The 16,206-nt window shown below is 45.2% G+C and overlaps 1 long non-coding RNA gene across 1 annotated transcript; it reads left to right on the top strand.

Moving 5' to 3' along the window:
* Positions 1-1,717: 1,717 nt before the first annotated feature.
* Positions 1,718-4,203, top strand: LOC105377235 (uncharacterized). Its single transcript, XR_938654.2, has 4 exons — positions 1,718-1,905; positions 3,374-3,636; positions 3,727-3,822; positions 3,920-4,203. It is a non-coding gene; the product is annotated as an uncharacterized LOC105377235 (long non-coding RNA).
* The last annotated feature ends 12,003 nt before the right edge of the window (positions 4,204-16,206 follow it).

The raw sequence follows: 16,206 nt of genomic DNA, 5'->3' as shown, positions 1-16,206 counted from the left end.
TAATTCAGTTCCCAGGTGAGCAGTGCTTCATGTCATGAGGGGGCACTTCTTCATTATCTTGGGATTTTATTCTGGGACAGAGTGTGAGCAGCAATAAGGTCAGATAGGGGTGAGAATACAATCAGTTGAGGGTTGCTGGGGTCCCACACATTAACCTGCAAAAAAGGTGATGACAGATGACACAGATGGTGTTTCCAACTGCATCCCTGCCTTGCCTTAGTTGTACAAGTGGTCTACACAGCAGCTCCATGTTCAGGTGGGAGTACTCCAACATGCAGGGAACATTTGGAGTATAAACTGGGGCCATCTTGCAAACTTCCAATCTGAGATCTTTCATACCAGGAACCAAATGGGAGTGGGGTGGATTGATGCTGGGTGGGAGGTGGCCTCCACACTTGCCTCTTTCTTTCCTGACTTCCATGTCCCTCGTCGGCCTAGGGTCCGTGGGTCTGGATCAACGTCTTCCACACTAAACATTTCACACTTAATGGAGGACACTCTCATGGGAATCCATTGCATGAGTGTTTCATCTTAACACTGTCATGTTTTAATTTCCTGGCAGCTGTGATACATTTGAAACTGTTAATTCCAGTTACAGCTGCCATCATGGAAACACTTATTCTCCTACCTCTATTGGAGGGCTGCAGAATTCCTGTAGGATGAGAAGAAGACAGTTGTGTCCGGCTTTTGACTGTCATTCTGGGCTCTGTTCCATTTCATCTGGAAGTCCTTTCTTATTGTGGAGGGAGTCTTTCACTGGATAGTGGCTGGATGGGACTGCCTCTTACCACAGATCTTTTGGCTGCCAGGGATTTCCAGGTGAGAAAGGGACTTTGAGTAGGCTTGCTGCACTTTTGTCATTCATGATCTCATTGTGGAAGCTAGGGTAGTTTGCACTTTGAAGGAAGATTTTGTGTATTCTGACAGTAGTCTTTGAATATTACTTGCACTCCAGCACAATTTACCTTCTTCTTTCAGGTGAGCCTTGATTTTTCTTTACTTTTATTGGGGGTCAAAATTGCCCTTCAACAGCACTACTGGACATCCCTTTCAGGCTTGCAATGGCCACAGATGGCCACTGAGGTTCTGCCTCAACTCCATATGCATCCTTGAGAGGCCAGTTCAAGGTGTGAGAACACTGCTCCACCCAGGATGTGCCTTTGTCGTGGTTCCTGCCTTTCCCAGAGAAACCCTGTGAGTCTCAGCATGAAGGGAGGCAGTGAGGTCAAGAGTCCGACCATCTTTCTCTGACACCCACCTCTGGGGTCTCAGATATGATTCTATCACCCAGAGAATTCTAAACAACACTCCAGCCTTAATCCAATTTCCATGGGAAATTCTTTCATACACCCTCTTTCAGGAATGGAGTCAGAAAAGCAGTTTTCAGTGACTTTGTCAGTCTTGAAATGCCTCCTCCTCCAGTAAGACCTCACCACTGAGAAGGCACAAAGGCGCCCTGAGGTAAAAAATTTTAGGATCCCGGGATGGGTTTTGACCGACAGCTTTTTTCTGATAACAGGCCAGCTCTGCCTGTACCATTTTCCTCTGCTTAGACAGGCTGACAGCTCTGATAGTCAGGTACCCTGACTTCTTCATGAATTGGCATGCATATTCTCAGGGCCCCAGGCCTGATTCTGAGCTGTGTCTAGCATCACAATGAATGTCATCGTTGCCTAGAGACAAGTCCGTTGGTCTTGGTGAAGAAGAACACCATGGAGGTGGGTTGGTGGTGGGCTTTTGTCCATCTTCTTTATGAGATCCATAAGATAGTTCCATGATTCTAGGGGAGGGCAGACATGAGACAACCTGAAGAAACATCAAGCACAGCCTCAGGAATAAAATGTGAAATTTCTAAGGGTCCAAAATAATCTGCAGGATTCCTCAGGCTGCCTAGACATTGTCATGGTGAGTCTTCTTGAAACTTGTCCCACTGTGATTTCTAGATACATCCCTCCTGTTCTTCCTGGGGTTGCTCTTTCCCAGTTGGGGCTTTCTGCAGAACCACAAAACCTCAGGAACTGCAGGCCTATTTGTTTCTGTGGAGTGTTGTGAGTGTTGGATATCTGCCTGTGTATGTGGCATTGTGTGTTGTGTGTTTGTGTGTGTGTGCCTGCAAGTAGAGTGCACTTAAAGAAATATGGCTAAAGCACTTCGGCTCTCCATTTTGTTTTTTTGAATCTCCCAACCTTTTGGTGGCCTGACTGTTTGGCTGTGCTTGGGTTGTGGGGCACATTCTTATTTTACCATGAATCATGAATCTGAAGTGAAAGGAGGGGTGTGCCAAGACCCGCCGACGTCCTAGTCACCTCTCCCTGCAAAAGAAGCCACTCTCCTAGGAAGAAAAGGAGCACAACACACAAAATAACAAACATATCCCAGTGTTTCATTGTCCTTCAGCCAAGCCAGGGAGAGACAGTAGCAGTCCTCTCCACAGGGGCTCTTGAATTTAACTCGAATTCTATCCCCAGCAGAGCAGGTGCTTCACATCATGAGGTGGTATTCCTCCATCGCCTTGGGATTCCATCCTGGGACATAGAATGTGAGGAGCAATGAGGACAGATAGGGGTGAGGATACAATATCCTGAGTGGTGGATGAGGTCTTGCAGCTTCACTTGCAAAAAAAGAAATGAGGACAGATGACAGAGAAGACACTTCCAACCCCATTCCCACATTCCCTTAATTGCACAAGCAGTCCACACCATGGCCCAGAGTTGAGGTGGGAATACTCCAACGTGCAAGAATCATTTGAGTTGCATATTGGGGCCATCCTCTGATATGAGGGCTTTTATACCTGGTAGCAGAGGGTAGTGGAGTGGATTGATACTGGGTAAGATGTGGTCTCTACACTTGCCTCATCTTTTTCTGACTTCTATTTTCCTCATCAGTCTAGGCTTTTCTGAGCCTGGCTCAATGACTTTCACACTAAACATTTCCTAGTTCATGGAGAACGACCCTCATGGGTAGCCATTGTGTAAGTGTTTTCTTCTAAACACTGTCACGTTTTAATTCCTGGACAGCTTTGATATGTCTAAAACAGTGCTGTGTTTGGCTTTTGCAGGGTAATTTATCCTCTGTTTCTTTTCATCTGTGTGGCCTTTGCGTTGTGGAGGACCTCTTTCATTGGGCTTTTGCTAGATGGAACTGCCTCTCACCAAAGACTATTTAGGTGCCAGGGATTTCAGAACAAAGGAAACTTCAATTAGGCTGGCTGTTCCCCAGGTTAAAAGTCATTATCTCATTGTAAGGGCTGAGGTTATTTGCAATTTGCAAGAGGCTTTTGGGTAATCTGATCAGGATCATTGAACGTTGCCGGGAATCCAGCAAAGGCAGCTCATTCTCTCAGGTGAGCCATAATTTTTCTTTACCTTCACAGGCAATCCACAGTGACCCTCATTGGCAATACTGGACACTGTTTTCAAGCATGTCATCGCAAAAGACGTCCTCTGAGACACTGTCTGAACCTGATATACACCTGTGAGAGGCGAGTCTGTGGTGTGAAAACACTGTTCCAACTTGCTCTTGCTATTGTCATGGCTCCTGCCTTTCCCAGAGGGCCACTGCAAGGCCCAGGAGGAAGAGAGGCAGTGAGGTCAAGAGCCCAGCCATTGTTTGCTGATGTCAGCCTCTGGGTCTCAGGTATGATTCTATCTCCCAAAGAGCCCTAAACAATACCAGACAGTATTCCAATCCCCATGGGACCTATTTCTTGCACACTGCCTCTTTCAGGAATGGAGTCAGAAGATCAGTGACCAACTCACAGCCTCCAAATGCCTCCTTCTTCAGCGGAACCCGACCACAGACATGACACAAAAGGGTCTTGAGGTAGGCAATTTTAGAGCCCCGCAGAGGGTTTTCACAGAAAGCCTTTTTTTCCCAAAACCAGACCAGCTCTGCCTGTACCATATATTTTTCTGCTTAGGCAGGATGAGAGTTCTGAAATCCAGGCACCTGAGCCTGCATGATGGATGCATTTGTGCCAGCCTCAGGGCACCAGGCCTGATGGTGAGCTCTGACCACCATCATAATGAATGTCATCATTGCCTAGTGACAAGTCCAGGCGGCTTGGCAGAGAAGACATCCGTGGAGGTGAGTCGGTGGTGAATTCTCGCTTGTCTTCTCTGAGGGATCTACGACATACTCTCATGATTCCAGGATAGGGCAGATGTGAGCCAGCCTGAAGAAACGTGAAGCACAGATTCATGAATAAACCGCAAAATCCCTAAGGATCCAAAACAATCTACAGGATTCCTAAGGCCTGCTTAGAGGTTGTAGGGTTGAGTCTTTTTAAAACTTGCCCCACTGTGATTTCTAGGTATAGCCCGCCTGTGTTCCCCGGGGTTGTTCTCCCCACGGTAGGGCTTTCTGCAGGACCAGGCAGCCTCAGGAGCTGCCGATCTGTGTGTTTCTGTGGGAGTGTTGTGAGTGTTGGATGTTTGCCTGTGTGTGTGGCATTGTGTGTGTGTGTGTGTGTGTGTTTCTGTGTGTGCCTGTAAGTGGAGTCTCCTTAAAGAAATGTGTCTAACACACTTCAGCCTTTTTTTTTTTTCGTATATCCAAAACTTCTGATGGCCTCTCTGTGTGGGTTTGCTTAGGCTTTGGGACCCCATGTTCTTTATTTTTCTGTGGATCATTAACCTGCAGTGAATTTGGAGGCATGCCGAAACCACAAGCGTCCAAATCACCTGCCGCTGCAAAAAAAAGCCACTCTTCTAGGAAGAAGAGGAGCATACCACACCAAAATAACAGACATCTCCCAACATTTCATTGTTCTGTGGACTACTGAGGGAAGAAAACTTGCAGTCTTGTATGAAGGGCCCTTGAATTTACCTTGAATTCAGGTCCCAGCCGAGCAGGGTCTTCATGTCTTAAGGCAGTACCCCTCCATTGTCTTGGGATTTCATCCAGGGACATTGAGTGTGAGCTGCAATAATGTCAGACACAGGTGATAATAGAATCTCTTGAGGGGTAAACGGGGCCTCACAACATTATCTGAAAAAAAAGTAAGGACAAACAACAAAGAAGTTTCTTCCAACTCCATCCCCACATTGCCTGAATCGCACAAGCAGTTTATATCTTGGCCCTGTTCTCACATGGGAGTACTCCAATGTGCCAGGAATATTTGGAGGGCAAACTGAGGCTATCCTGGCAAAATCCCAAATTGAGGGCTTTCATACTCGGAGCCAAAAATGAGTGGAAAAGACTGATGCTAGGTTGGGTGTGGCCTCTACACTTGCCTGTTCTTTTCCTGACTTCCATGTTCCTCATCGACATAGGGTTTCCTGGATCTGGCTCAGCAACTTCCACAATAAACATTTCCCAGTTCATGGAGAACGACCCTCATGGGAATCTATTGTGTGAGTGTTTTTTTGTAAACACTATCACGTTTTAATGACTGGGAAGCTTTGATATATTTACAACCATAACTTTCCATTAGAGCCATCAACAAATAAACTTGTTCTTCCACTTCTATTGGAGGGTGGCATGATTCCTTTAGGATGAGAAGCAGGCAGCTGTTTCTAGCTTTTATCAGGTAATCTAGCCTCTGTTTCATTCATCTTCATGGTCCTCTCATTGTGGAGGGGCTCTTTCATTGAGTTGTTGCTGGATGGGACTGCCTCTCACCACAGATTATGTAGCTGCCAGGGATTTCAGAGAGCAAAAGGGACTTCAGGTAGGCTGGCTGCCTTACAGGTTGTGGGTCTTTGACACGTTGAGAGATTGAGGTTGTTTGCAATTTGCAAGGGGTTTTTGTTCCTCTGATAGGAATCATTGAACGTTTCTTGGACTTAAGAACAAGGCAGATCATTCTCTCAGGTGAGCCTTGATTTTTCTTTGTTTTCCTGGGGATTACACAGTGCCTCTCAACAGCACAACTGGACTCCCTTTCCAGGCTTGCCATTATCACACGCAGCCTTTGATATGCTTTTGTCATGGTTCCTGCCTTCCCGAAAGAGCCTCTGCGAGGCCCTGGATGCAAGGAGGCAGTGAGGTCAAGAGTCTGGCCATTTTTCACTGACATCAGCATCTGGGGTATCAGGTATGATTCTATCACCCAAAGAACCTTCAGTAATACACCTGACTAGATTCCAATCTTCATGGGAGTGGATTCTTCTACACAGCCTCTTTCAGGAATGGAGTCAGATGAGCAGTTTCCAGCAACCTCCTCTCAGGCTCAAAATGCCTCTTCCTCCTGCACCACCTGGCCATGGAGACAGCCTGAAGGGGCTCTGAGGTTGAGAAGTTTTGGGTCCTGCAGTGCATTTTTGCAGGCAGCCTTTACCCAAATACCAGGCTGGCTCTGACTGTACCATTTTTCTCTGCTTAGGCAGGCTTACAGTTCTGACAGACAGGTGCCTAAGTCTGCCACACAAATGCACACACACTAATCTCAGGGCACTTGGCCTGACTGTGAGCTCTGGATAGCATCACAATTAATGTCATCATTGCCTAGCAACAAGTCCCTTCAGCTTGGCAAAGAAGGAGACCACTGTGGAAGTGTGTCTGTGGTGGACTCTCACCTGTCTTCTCAGTGGGATCCACAGGATAGTCCCATGATTCTTGGAGAGGGCAAATGTTGGCCACTCTGAAGAAATATCAATCAGAGCCCTAGTAATAAATTGTGAAATCCCTAGGTATCCAAAAAGATCTACAGGATTCCTCATTCATTCCTAGATAATGTAGGTTTGAATCTTTTTTAACTTGCCCACCGTGATTTCTAGGTACAGGCCCACTGTATTTCTCAGGGTTGCTCTGTCCCATGTGGGGCCTCCTACATAACTAAGCAGCCTCCTGAGCTTCCATATTGTGTGTCTCTCTGGAAGTGCCTTGAATGATGGAGGTCTGTGTGTGTGTATGTGGCATTGTTTGTGTGTGTTTGCTGTGAATGTAAGTAGAATCCGCCGAAAGAAATGTGGTTAATTCACTCAAGCGATTCTTTTATATTAAGTCTCAAAACCTTTTGTTGTCCTGTCTGTGTGGCTCTCCTTGGGATGCAGGGCTCCATGTTCTTTATTTTTCTGTTGATGATGAATCTGCGGTGATTTGGGAGGCATGCCATTACCCACAAGCATCCAAGTCACTTTTACCTTCAAAAAAAGCAACTTTTCTAGAGAAAAGAGGAGCACAACAAAACAAAAAAAACAGACATCTCCCAGTGTTTCTTTTTCCTGCACCAAAACATGGAGAGATACTAGCAGTCCTAAATGCATGCCCCCTTGTATTTACCTTGAATTCACTTCCCAGCTGAGCAGGTGCTTCATATCATGAGGGGGCAATCCTTCATCATCTTGGGATTTCATCTTGATACATAGAGTTTGAGCAGCAATAAGATCAGATTGGGTGAGAATACATTCTGATGAGGGGTGGATGGGGTCCCGCAACTTCAGCTGCAAAAACAAAATAAATGAAGACAGATGACACAGAAGCTTCCAGCAAATCTGACCTCACATTCTCTTTGTAGCAGGATGAGCTGCAGAGAAAATCCGTCAGACACCAGATTAAAGAAGTAAATGGCTTTATTCAGCTGGGAGCATTGGCAGATGCATGTTTCAAGAACTACGTTCACGGAAGAAAGAGTTTCTGGCCTTTGTAAAGGCTTACAACTCTAAGGGGTTCCACATGAAAGTTTAATGACAGGTTGAGATCTATAGATAGCACGTGTGGTTAGAGTATTGGGCTGATATTTTAGTGACAGACCTGGTCATCAATAGCACTGGCTGATCTTGCCACTGATTTCATTCCTGTTGTTTTTCAGCTTTTACTTCCTGCTTCTCTTCAAAGAACAGGAGACAGTAAGAGAAATGGCCTCTCTCCTCATTCCCCTCTTTGAGAACCTCACTCACTAGTGGGAATTCTCACTCTCATCTTCACTATTCAGGTCTTCCTGAGAGACAGATCGCCAGCAATTCATGTAACACACTTGTGCTGTGGTCTTTTGATGAACTAAGTTGCTAGAAATATGCTAAACAGTGGAGTAAACACCAGCTTTGGAGAGTGCCTGTGGACCTCTCATTAGATTAAAATATTTACTCAGGGATAGAGTCTAGTTGCATTGATTCCTAGAATTACTTACTCTCCTGTTTTCCACTAGGGATCGAGTAGTTCTAATGGGTTATCACACATAAGGCTGGTAATTTCCTGTGCTGCATACCTTCTGTTTTGTGGCATTATACAAACAAGTCCCTTTTAAAGTTCCAGTACATTCATAATAATCATAAAAACAGAAAGACTCTTTTAACTCTTTGCCCTACCTCAGTAACTTGAACAGTCTTCAGTCTGAGAAGGTCAAGTTGAAGTCCTTACTGTACAAGTCCAAAATTTAAGGAAAATGAGTCTCACGATGAGTTTCCTCATGCTTCAACCATGCATGGACCAGTCAGCTTCAGGGTGTGACTGGAGCAGGACTTGTCATCTTCAATGTCAGCTTGCAGGTGTTGTCTGGGCTTGGCCTCACCTTCCAGGTCTCAGGTGCTGTAGGTTTTATGTGGCTGTGGTGGATCCAGGATAGGATTTTCTCTATCTTTATAGCTGTGGGAGTGGTCAAGATGATGCTCTAGGGTTCTTTCCTCCTGTGGCTGCAAGAGTGCTACATTACAATCTTTGATCCAAACCTGATCACCTGAGGAGAAAGGATGAACTGCAGAGAATAAGCTGACAGGACAGCTTTCATTTGCCCTGGCTGAAATTGTTTGTGTAATTTTCCCTAAAGCCTTCAGCTGTCACTGTAAGTCAATTTCACCTAGCTCTCGAGAAATGCCTGAGAGTCCCCATTGTACGGGAAGGAACCTATGATATAATTCTTTATAAGGGGAATATTCTGTAATTTTAGAAGGGGTACATCTAGTCTTAAACAATACCATAGGGAGAGCTTGTACCCACTTTAACCTTGTTTCTTGACACACTTCCCTAAACTATTTTGATAGTCCGATTTATCTGCTCCACTTTTCTGGAGCTCTACAGTTGGTAAATTGTATGTATGTCCCATGTGATCCCCAACACCTTTGCTATCTTTTTTACCAAGTCAGCCACAAACACTGGCCCATTCTCCAAGCTGATTCATAAGCATAGTCCAAACCTAGGGACAAGATCTTGGAGAAGCACATGGGTTACCTCAGAAGCTTTCTCAGTTCATGTTGGATAGACCTCCACTCACCTAGAGTATGTACACACTAGAACTAGCAAATACTTGTTACCTCCACATTTGGACATGCCCGTGAAGTCTAATTGGAGATCTTCAACGGGGGTTGCTCCATAAGGTTGTATGAAGGTTGTATGAAGTTTGGAACTTACCTAGCATTGTGCTGTGGGTAGCGACAGATGCTAGACATAGAAGTACCAGACTAACAACTTTTCAAGTGACTCTTGGTCTAAGTGGGTAGTCTCATGCACAGACAGTATGACTGCAGCCCCTAGCAGTTGTGGCACAGCTATTCTTCTGTCCAATAACTGGATGCATCCCTCTTCTCTCACTGGCCCTCCCTCTGCTTGGGGAAAGTCTTTCTCTTCTTTAGAATAAGTAGATTCAAGTACAGGTGACTGAGGGAGCAGGGGCTGTGACAGATGCCTGGTAGGGTGTAGATAGTGCTTTTTGAGCCTCTGAGTCAGCTCCAGAGTTCCTCAAGGCAATCAAGATGGAAGCTCACTGGTATTCTCTGTAGTTCATGACTGTTTTCCTTGTAGGTTGACCTGCTTTCATTCTTATCACAGGCTGTGCTCCCCCTGCCAGATAGTAAATCCCAGGTAATGTAAATGCAGTCAGCAGATCTGAGCTTTTTTCTTGGAGAGCTTATACCCACAGTCCTCCAGTTGTTAGAGAAGGGTAACAATTCCCTTGATGCACCTGACTGCCTTGGGGTTTCCCCACAAGAGGTCGTCAATGTACTGGAGCAACACACAGTCTAGGTCTCTGATGGAAAACTTCTGGAGGTCTCAAACCAGTGCCTTCCCTAAAGATGGTGGGGGAGTTCTTAAACCCTTGGGGAAGACAGGTCCAAGTGTACAGAGTGATGACACCTGACCCCAGATCCTCCCACTGAAAGGCAAACAATTTCTGGATCTAAGGGGCTAGTCTGATGCTAAAGAAAGCATCCTTCAGCTGTCCTCAGCTGACAGAATTCCCAACAATGTGTATGGGTTAAGTACCATTGTGGGCAAAGTCACTGTACCTTGGTTGACCAAGTGCAAGTCCTGTACCGGCCTGTAGCCCTTGGTCTCTGGCTGGAGAGCAGACAGGAGGGGGGTGTTCCTTGGAGATTGACAAGGGAGTCTAATTTCAGAGGCCCCCAGGCCCTTGAGATGCACCTGGGTACCTTCAAGAGCTTCTATGGGAACTGGGTACTTATGTTGCCTGACTGGCTGTCACAGGCTTAACTTCTCTGAGTATGGGGGCTTAGTTGACTGCCAACCTTGGAAGGCTGTCTCCCACCCACACCGTTGGCCATCACTTAGCCAGAGCTTGTCCTATCTTTGGGCCTGGCTCCTGAAAAACTGTAATGGTCATTATGACTCACACTCCAGTTAACTTTATCTGTAAGGAGCTGTGCTTTGTAAAGGGACAGTGGCTCTCATTTTGTTAAGTAGGTCCTTTCCTACCGAAGGCAAGAGGAAGTCAAGCATGTACAGGAACTGGTGAATCACTTCATGCCCCCCTACAGTGCAGGTCTGGGGCAAAGAGAAAGCTTGCTTTGCTGAGACCCCTGTGGCTTCGGTTATATCAATAGTCTTTTTGGATAAGAGGGCAACCAAGGTGGTTAGTAGTGCACATGAGCCTGGTCTCCCTCAGTCCAGTTTGAACTGGACTTCCAGATTGAAGGAGGTTCCTTCATCCTTGTCTGATGCCTCCTGCTCAGAGTCACCTTGTTTTCCTTCCAACTGGGGCACTTGTCCTTCCAATGTCCTATTTCCTTACAGTAAGCACACTGGTTATGCTGCAAGCCTGGATGACCAGACTGGGTATTTTTCCTGTGGCCCCCTCTCTTGCCCCTTTGGGGGAACCCCTCTAATAGCTGCAGCTAGCAGGTTGGCATTTCACTGGGCTTGGCATTCACTCTCTCTCTCTCTGCAGTTCTCTCTGTATCTTAGTGAATCTCTATTTACAAACACCTGGTTGACTATCTCCAATAACTGTGAAGTATGTATGTCTGCAAACCCAGCCTGTTTCTGCAATTTTCTTCTAATGTCTTGTGTACTTTAACTAACTAAATCCATGTTAATCATGTTCTGATTATCAGGGCCATTGGGATCAAAGGGAGTAAACATACAATAGGCCTCATATAGTCTCTTGTAAAACATTTGTGGCCTTCTGAGCTCCCTTCTTTAACCCTTCCAGAAGGGGTGCCCTGTACAAGTTTAACCTTTGCATACCCTCTTTTTCATTTGGGTCCCACTGTGGGTCTGTTCCTGGTAATTAGATCCTCACATAGTTTTGAGTGTTTTCGTAATCAGCTGAAATATGTTCTTCCTTCCACTTAGTTGCTGCTTGGAACACTCTCCTCCTTTAATCTGTGTTAAAAGGGTACATGAGCAACTGGGGGCAATCGGCCCACGTGGGGTTGTTGGTCTGGATAATAGTTTTGAGCAAATCAATTATAGCTTGATGATTTTTCGTATAGGATGGGATATTGTATTTCCAATTGAGGAGATTGGCAAAGCTGAAGGGTAAGTACACAAAGGCTCACCTTTCCACCATATGCCCATCCTCATCTACCACTGCTCTCTCAGGCACATTTGTATTTCAATTCTAGACCTCAAACAGGCTATGAAGGGAGGAGTTTCTCCTGAGGTCTCACATCCTTTCCTTTCTACTCTGGGTGGCCTAGGGTTATGTAGGTCTTGTGGAAGCTCAGGTGTAGTGGGCTCAGGAGGCCTTCCTTCTTGGTGAAGTGGGGGCAACTGGATCCATTTCTTGCCATGAATCCTCTGATGTTGGGTCAAGACTTTAGGAGCCAATTCCCTTCAGTGGATGGAGTGGGATTCTTTTTTGGCTGTCTGCCACTTTGCTGCTAGTACTACTGCTGCATGTCCTCTTAACCACTGTGAGGGGTCTAAAACCAGCTGTAACCAAGTATTTATGTACAGAAACTGGTCTGGGTATCCCAGCTTACCAGTTACCTTGTGCCACACTTTTGAAACAAGGTACCTATCCAGGCTTCCTTCTGATGACCAAACCACTTGTAATCTTCAAAAATTTATTTACAGAAGCAGAAATTTCAAATACAACACTGGATAAAAATGTTGGAAGGCCAGTGACAGCAGAGAAGCTCACTTGCACTTTACATATCTCTGAATTAACATCATTAATTAAGAATCACAGATGTAATTACAATTGCTAATCCAAATCTACACCTTGTCAATGGGAATGAGCCATAATTAGCTTTATTGGAAGAAAATGCCTGAATTCAACTTCTAGCCTTCTTCTGACTACAAAGCAGGTACACTATATTGAATATTACTACAGAAATAAGAGTCATCTAAAACTGCTCCTAGAATATATCTTCCTGAACTATAAAAATACTAAAAACATACTTAAAACTGTCTTGCACCACAATTATCATGAACATCAAGTATTCTTCTAATCAGTTTTCTATGATTCATTCCAATTAAATGTTTATTTACCCTCAAGTTTTGTTGTAGTGCCAGAAGCTAGCCAGTCTATCTCACACAAAGTTCTAAGTTTTGCTGGTTTCTTGAAATTTTTCAGCATAGTTTCTAACGGAGTGGGCTTACTTTATGTTCCATCCATCTTCTTCCTGAGTCAAGACAACACACATCAGAAGAAGGAAAGGGTAAAGGGTTCAGTCACTCATCTCTCCCATCTGAAACTCAAGCACTCACTCAATTTCTTTTTCCTTTTTGCAAGCAAGTCAAGCCAAATCAAAATCAATACCAAAGTGTTGATAAGGACACATTGTGGGTAATCAGACCATGTTTCCACTTAAATGGAGTGAGCAAGTTACCAGGACTCCTTCTACCATATTCCAGATGTCTGGACTCCAAGAACCAGTTTATTCGCAGAGTACAGCCACTGTATTGATCCTTTGTGGGGGCCTGCAGTGTACTGCTCTGATGAAGTGTTCCACCTGGGAAAACATCTAACCAGGAGCACTCTCAGGATACATGTTACTCAAGCTGGCTGGAGTTACCCACAGGGATATGTTGCAGGGCAAGCCTAAGCTGCCTTGGGGGCTGCCTTGATTGTGCATTAATCACCTCATTTCCAGGTCAGGGAACCAAGAAATGTAGCAGTACGAGTGGTGGGGAAAACAAAAACAAAAACAAAAATAAAAACTTAGACAACAGGTAAAAGAAGAAAGTGGCTCTATTTGTTTGGGAGCATTGGCAGACCCACGTCTCAAGGACCAAGCTCCCTGAAGAAAGAGTTCCAGGCCCTTTTAAGGGCTTAGAACTCTAAGGGCTTCTACAGGAAAGGGGCATAATAAATTGAGATTTATAGATACAAATGTGGTTAAAGTGGTGGGTTAATCATTTAGCCTCAGGACTGGTCATTAGTGGTGCCAGCTGGTCTTGCCACTGCTATCATTCCTGTTGTTTTTTTTAGCTTTTACTTCCTCCTTCTCTTCAGAAACAGGAGGCAGTAAGAGAAATGATCTCTCTCCTCACCTTAATTGCAGAATAAGTCCAAACCAGGTCCCAGTGTTCAGATGGGAGTACTCCAATATGCAAGGAATATTTGGAGTGCAAATTGGGGCCATCCTGTCAAACTCCCGATTTGAGGGCTTTCAAGCCCAGAGCAAAATGGGAGTGGAATATATTGACACTGGGTGGAATGTGGCCTCCACACTTGCTATTCTTATATTAACTTCCATGTTCCCCTTTGCCCTAGGGCTTCTCAGGTCTGGCTCAACGACTTCCACAATAAACCTTTCCTAGTTCACAGAGAACAGCACTTCTGGAATCCATTGCATAAGTGTCTCATTCTAAACACTGTCATATTTTAATGACTGGACAGCTTTGATACATTTAAAACCATAAATTTCTGTTACAGCCACCAACAAGGAAACTCTTGTTTTCCCACTTGTGTTAGTGGACTGCATGATTCTCGTAGCATGGGAAGTAGGCAGCCATGTCTACCTTTGGCCTGGTAATCTAGCCTCTGTGTCATTTCATCTGCATGGCCTTCTCATTGTGGAGAGCCTCTTTCATTGGGCTGTTGCTGAGTGGGGCTGCCTGTTACCACAGATTATTTAGCTGGAAGGGATTTCAGACAGCAAAACGGACTTCAGGTAGGCTGGCTGTGCTCCAGCATGCGGGTGATTGTCTCATTTCCAGGGCTGAGGCTGTTTGCACTTTGCAGTGGACTTTTGGGTCCTTTAAGAGGCATCATTGAACATTGCTTGGACCCAGCACCAGTTAGCTCATTCTCTCATGTGAGCCTTGGCCTTTCTTTGCTTTCATCAGGAATCTACTGTGCCCCTCAACTGCACTACTGGAAACATTTTCAGCCTGGCCGTCAACACAGACAATCTCTGAGACAGGTCTCAACCTCACCTGCATGCCTAAGAGGCCAGTCCAAGTTGTGAGAATACCGCTTCACCTTGGACTTGCCATTGTCCTGGTTCCTGCCTTTCTTAGAAAGCCTCTGTGAGGCCCAGATGAAGGGGAGCAGTGAGGTCAACAACCTGGCCATCTTTCACTGACAATAGCTTCTGAGGTCTGAGGTATGATTCTATCACCCAAAGAACATGCAACAGCACACCAGACAATATTCCAATTCCCATTGGACCTGATTCTTGCACACAGCGTTTTTCAGGAGTGGAGTCAGAAGAGCAGTTTCCAGAGACAACCTCATAGTCTTCAAATGCCTCCTGACACAGCAGGATTCAACCATGGGGTCCACCCAAAAAGGCCCTGAGCAGTGGATTTTCACAGGCAGCTTTTTTCCTGATACCAGGATGGGTTTGGCTGTACCACTTTCCTCTGCTTAGGCAGGCTGACAGCTCTCAAAGCCTGACTCCTGAGTCTGCCTCAGAAATGGACATGTGCTAGTTTGAGGGGACTAGGCCTGATTGTGAGCACTGGTTAGCATCACAATGAATGTCACCGTTGCCAAGAGACAAGTCCCTGTGGCTTGGCAGAGAAGATGTCTGTGGAGGTGCATTGGTGTTGGACTCACCTGTCTTCTCTGTGGGATCCATGGGTTTGATCCATGATCCTAGGAGAGGGCAGACATGAGCCAGCCTCAAGAAATGTCAAACAGAGCCTGAGGAATAAACCATGAAATCCCTAAGAATCCAAGAAGATCTGCAGGATTCCTCAGGCCTGCCTAGATGTTGTAAAGGTGAGTCTTTTTGAAACTTGTGCTACTGTGACTTCCTGGTATAGCCCACCAGTGTTTTTCAAGGTTACTCTTTGTGTATGTGTGTGTTTGTGTTTGTGTGTGTGAATGTAAGTGGAGTCAGCTTAAAGGAATGTGGGTAAAGCACTTTAGCACTTTTTTTTGGAGTCTCCCCAGCTTTTGGTGGCCTGCATATGTGGCTCTGCTTGGGTTGTGGGGCATGATGTTCTTTATTTTTTATTTTTAGTTGAATGTGTCCAAATCAACTCCTTCTGCAAAAGCAAAAAAACAAATCAGAAAACAAAACAAAACAAACAAAAGCCACTCTTCTAGAAAAGGAATAAGAACACATCATGCCAAAAGACAGACATGCCCGTGTTTCATATTCCTACAGTCAACACAGGGAGAGACACTAGCAGTCCTGTTGATTGGGCCCCTTAAATTTACCTCAAATTCAGTTCTGAGTCAAGCAGGTGCTTCACATCCTCAGGAGGTACTCCTCCATTGTCTTGGGATTTTATCCTGGGATATAGAGTGTGAGCAGCAATAAGATCAGATAGGAATGAGGATACAATGTAGTGAGGGGTGGATGGGGTCTTGCAACTTCACCTGCAATAAATAAATAAATAATAAATAAATAAATAAAGACAGATGACAAAAAAGTTGCTTCCAACTTCATCCCCACATTCCCTTAATTGCAAAAGAAATCCACACAATGGCTCAGTGTTCAGGTGGGAGTACTCCAATGCACAAGAACATTCAGAGTACAAATAGGGGCCATACTGGCAAACTACTCATTTGTGGGTTTTCATACCTGGAGGCAAATGTGAGTGGAATGGATTGATGCTGGGTGGGATGTGGCTGTGACTTCTAGACATGCCTTTTGTTTTTGTGACTTCCATGATTCTAATTGC

This window comes from Homo sapiens, chromosome Y (assembly GCF_000001405.40).
Source record: "Homo sapiens chromosome Y, GRCh38.p14 Primary Assembly".
Taxonomy (NCBI): domain Eukaryota; kingdom Metazoa; phylum Chordata; class Mammalia; order Primates; family Hominidae; genus Homo; species Homo sapiens.
This window is presented reverse-complemented; position numbering and strand designations above follow the sequence as displayed.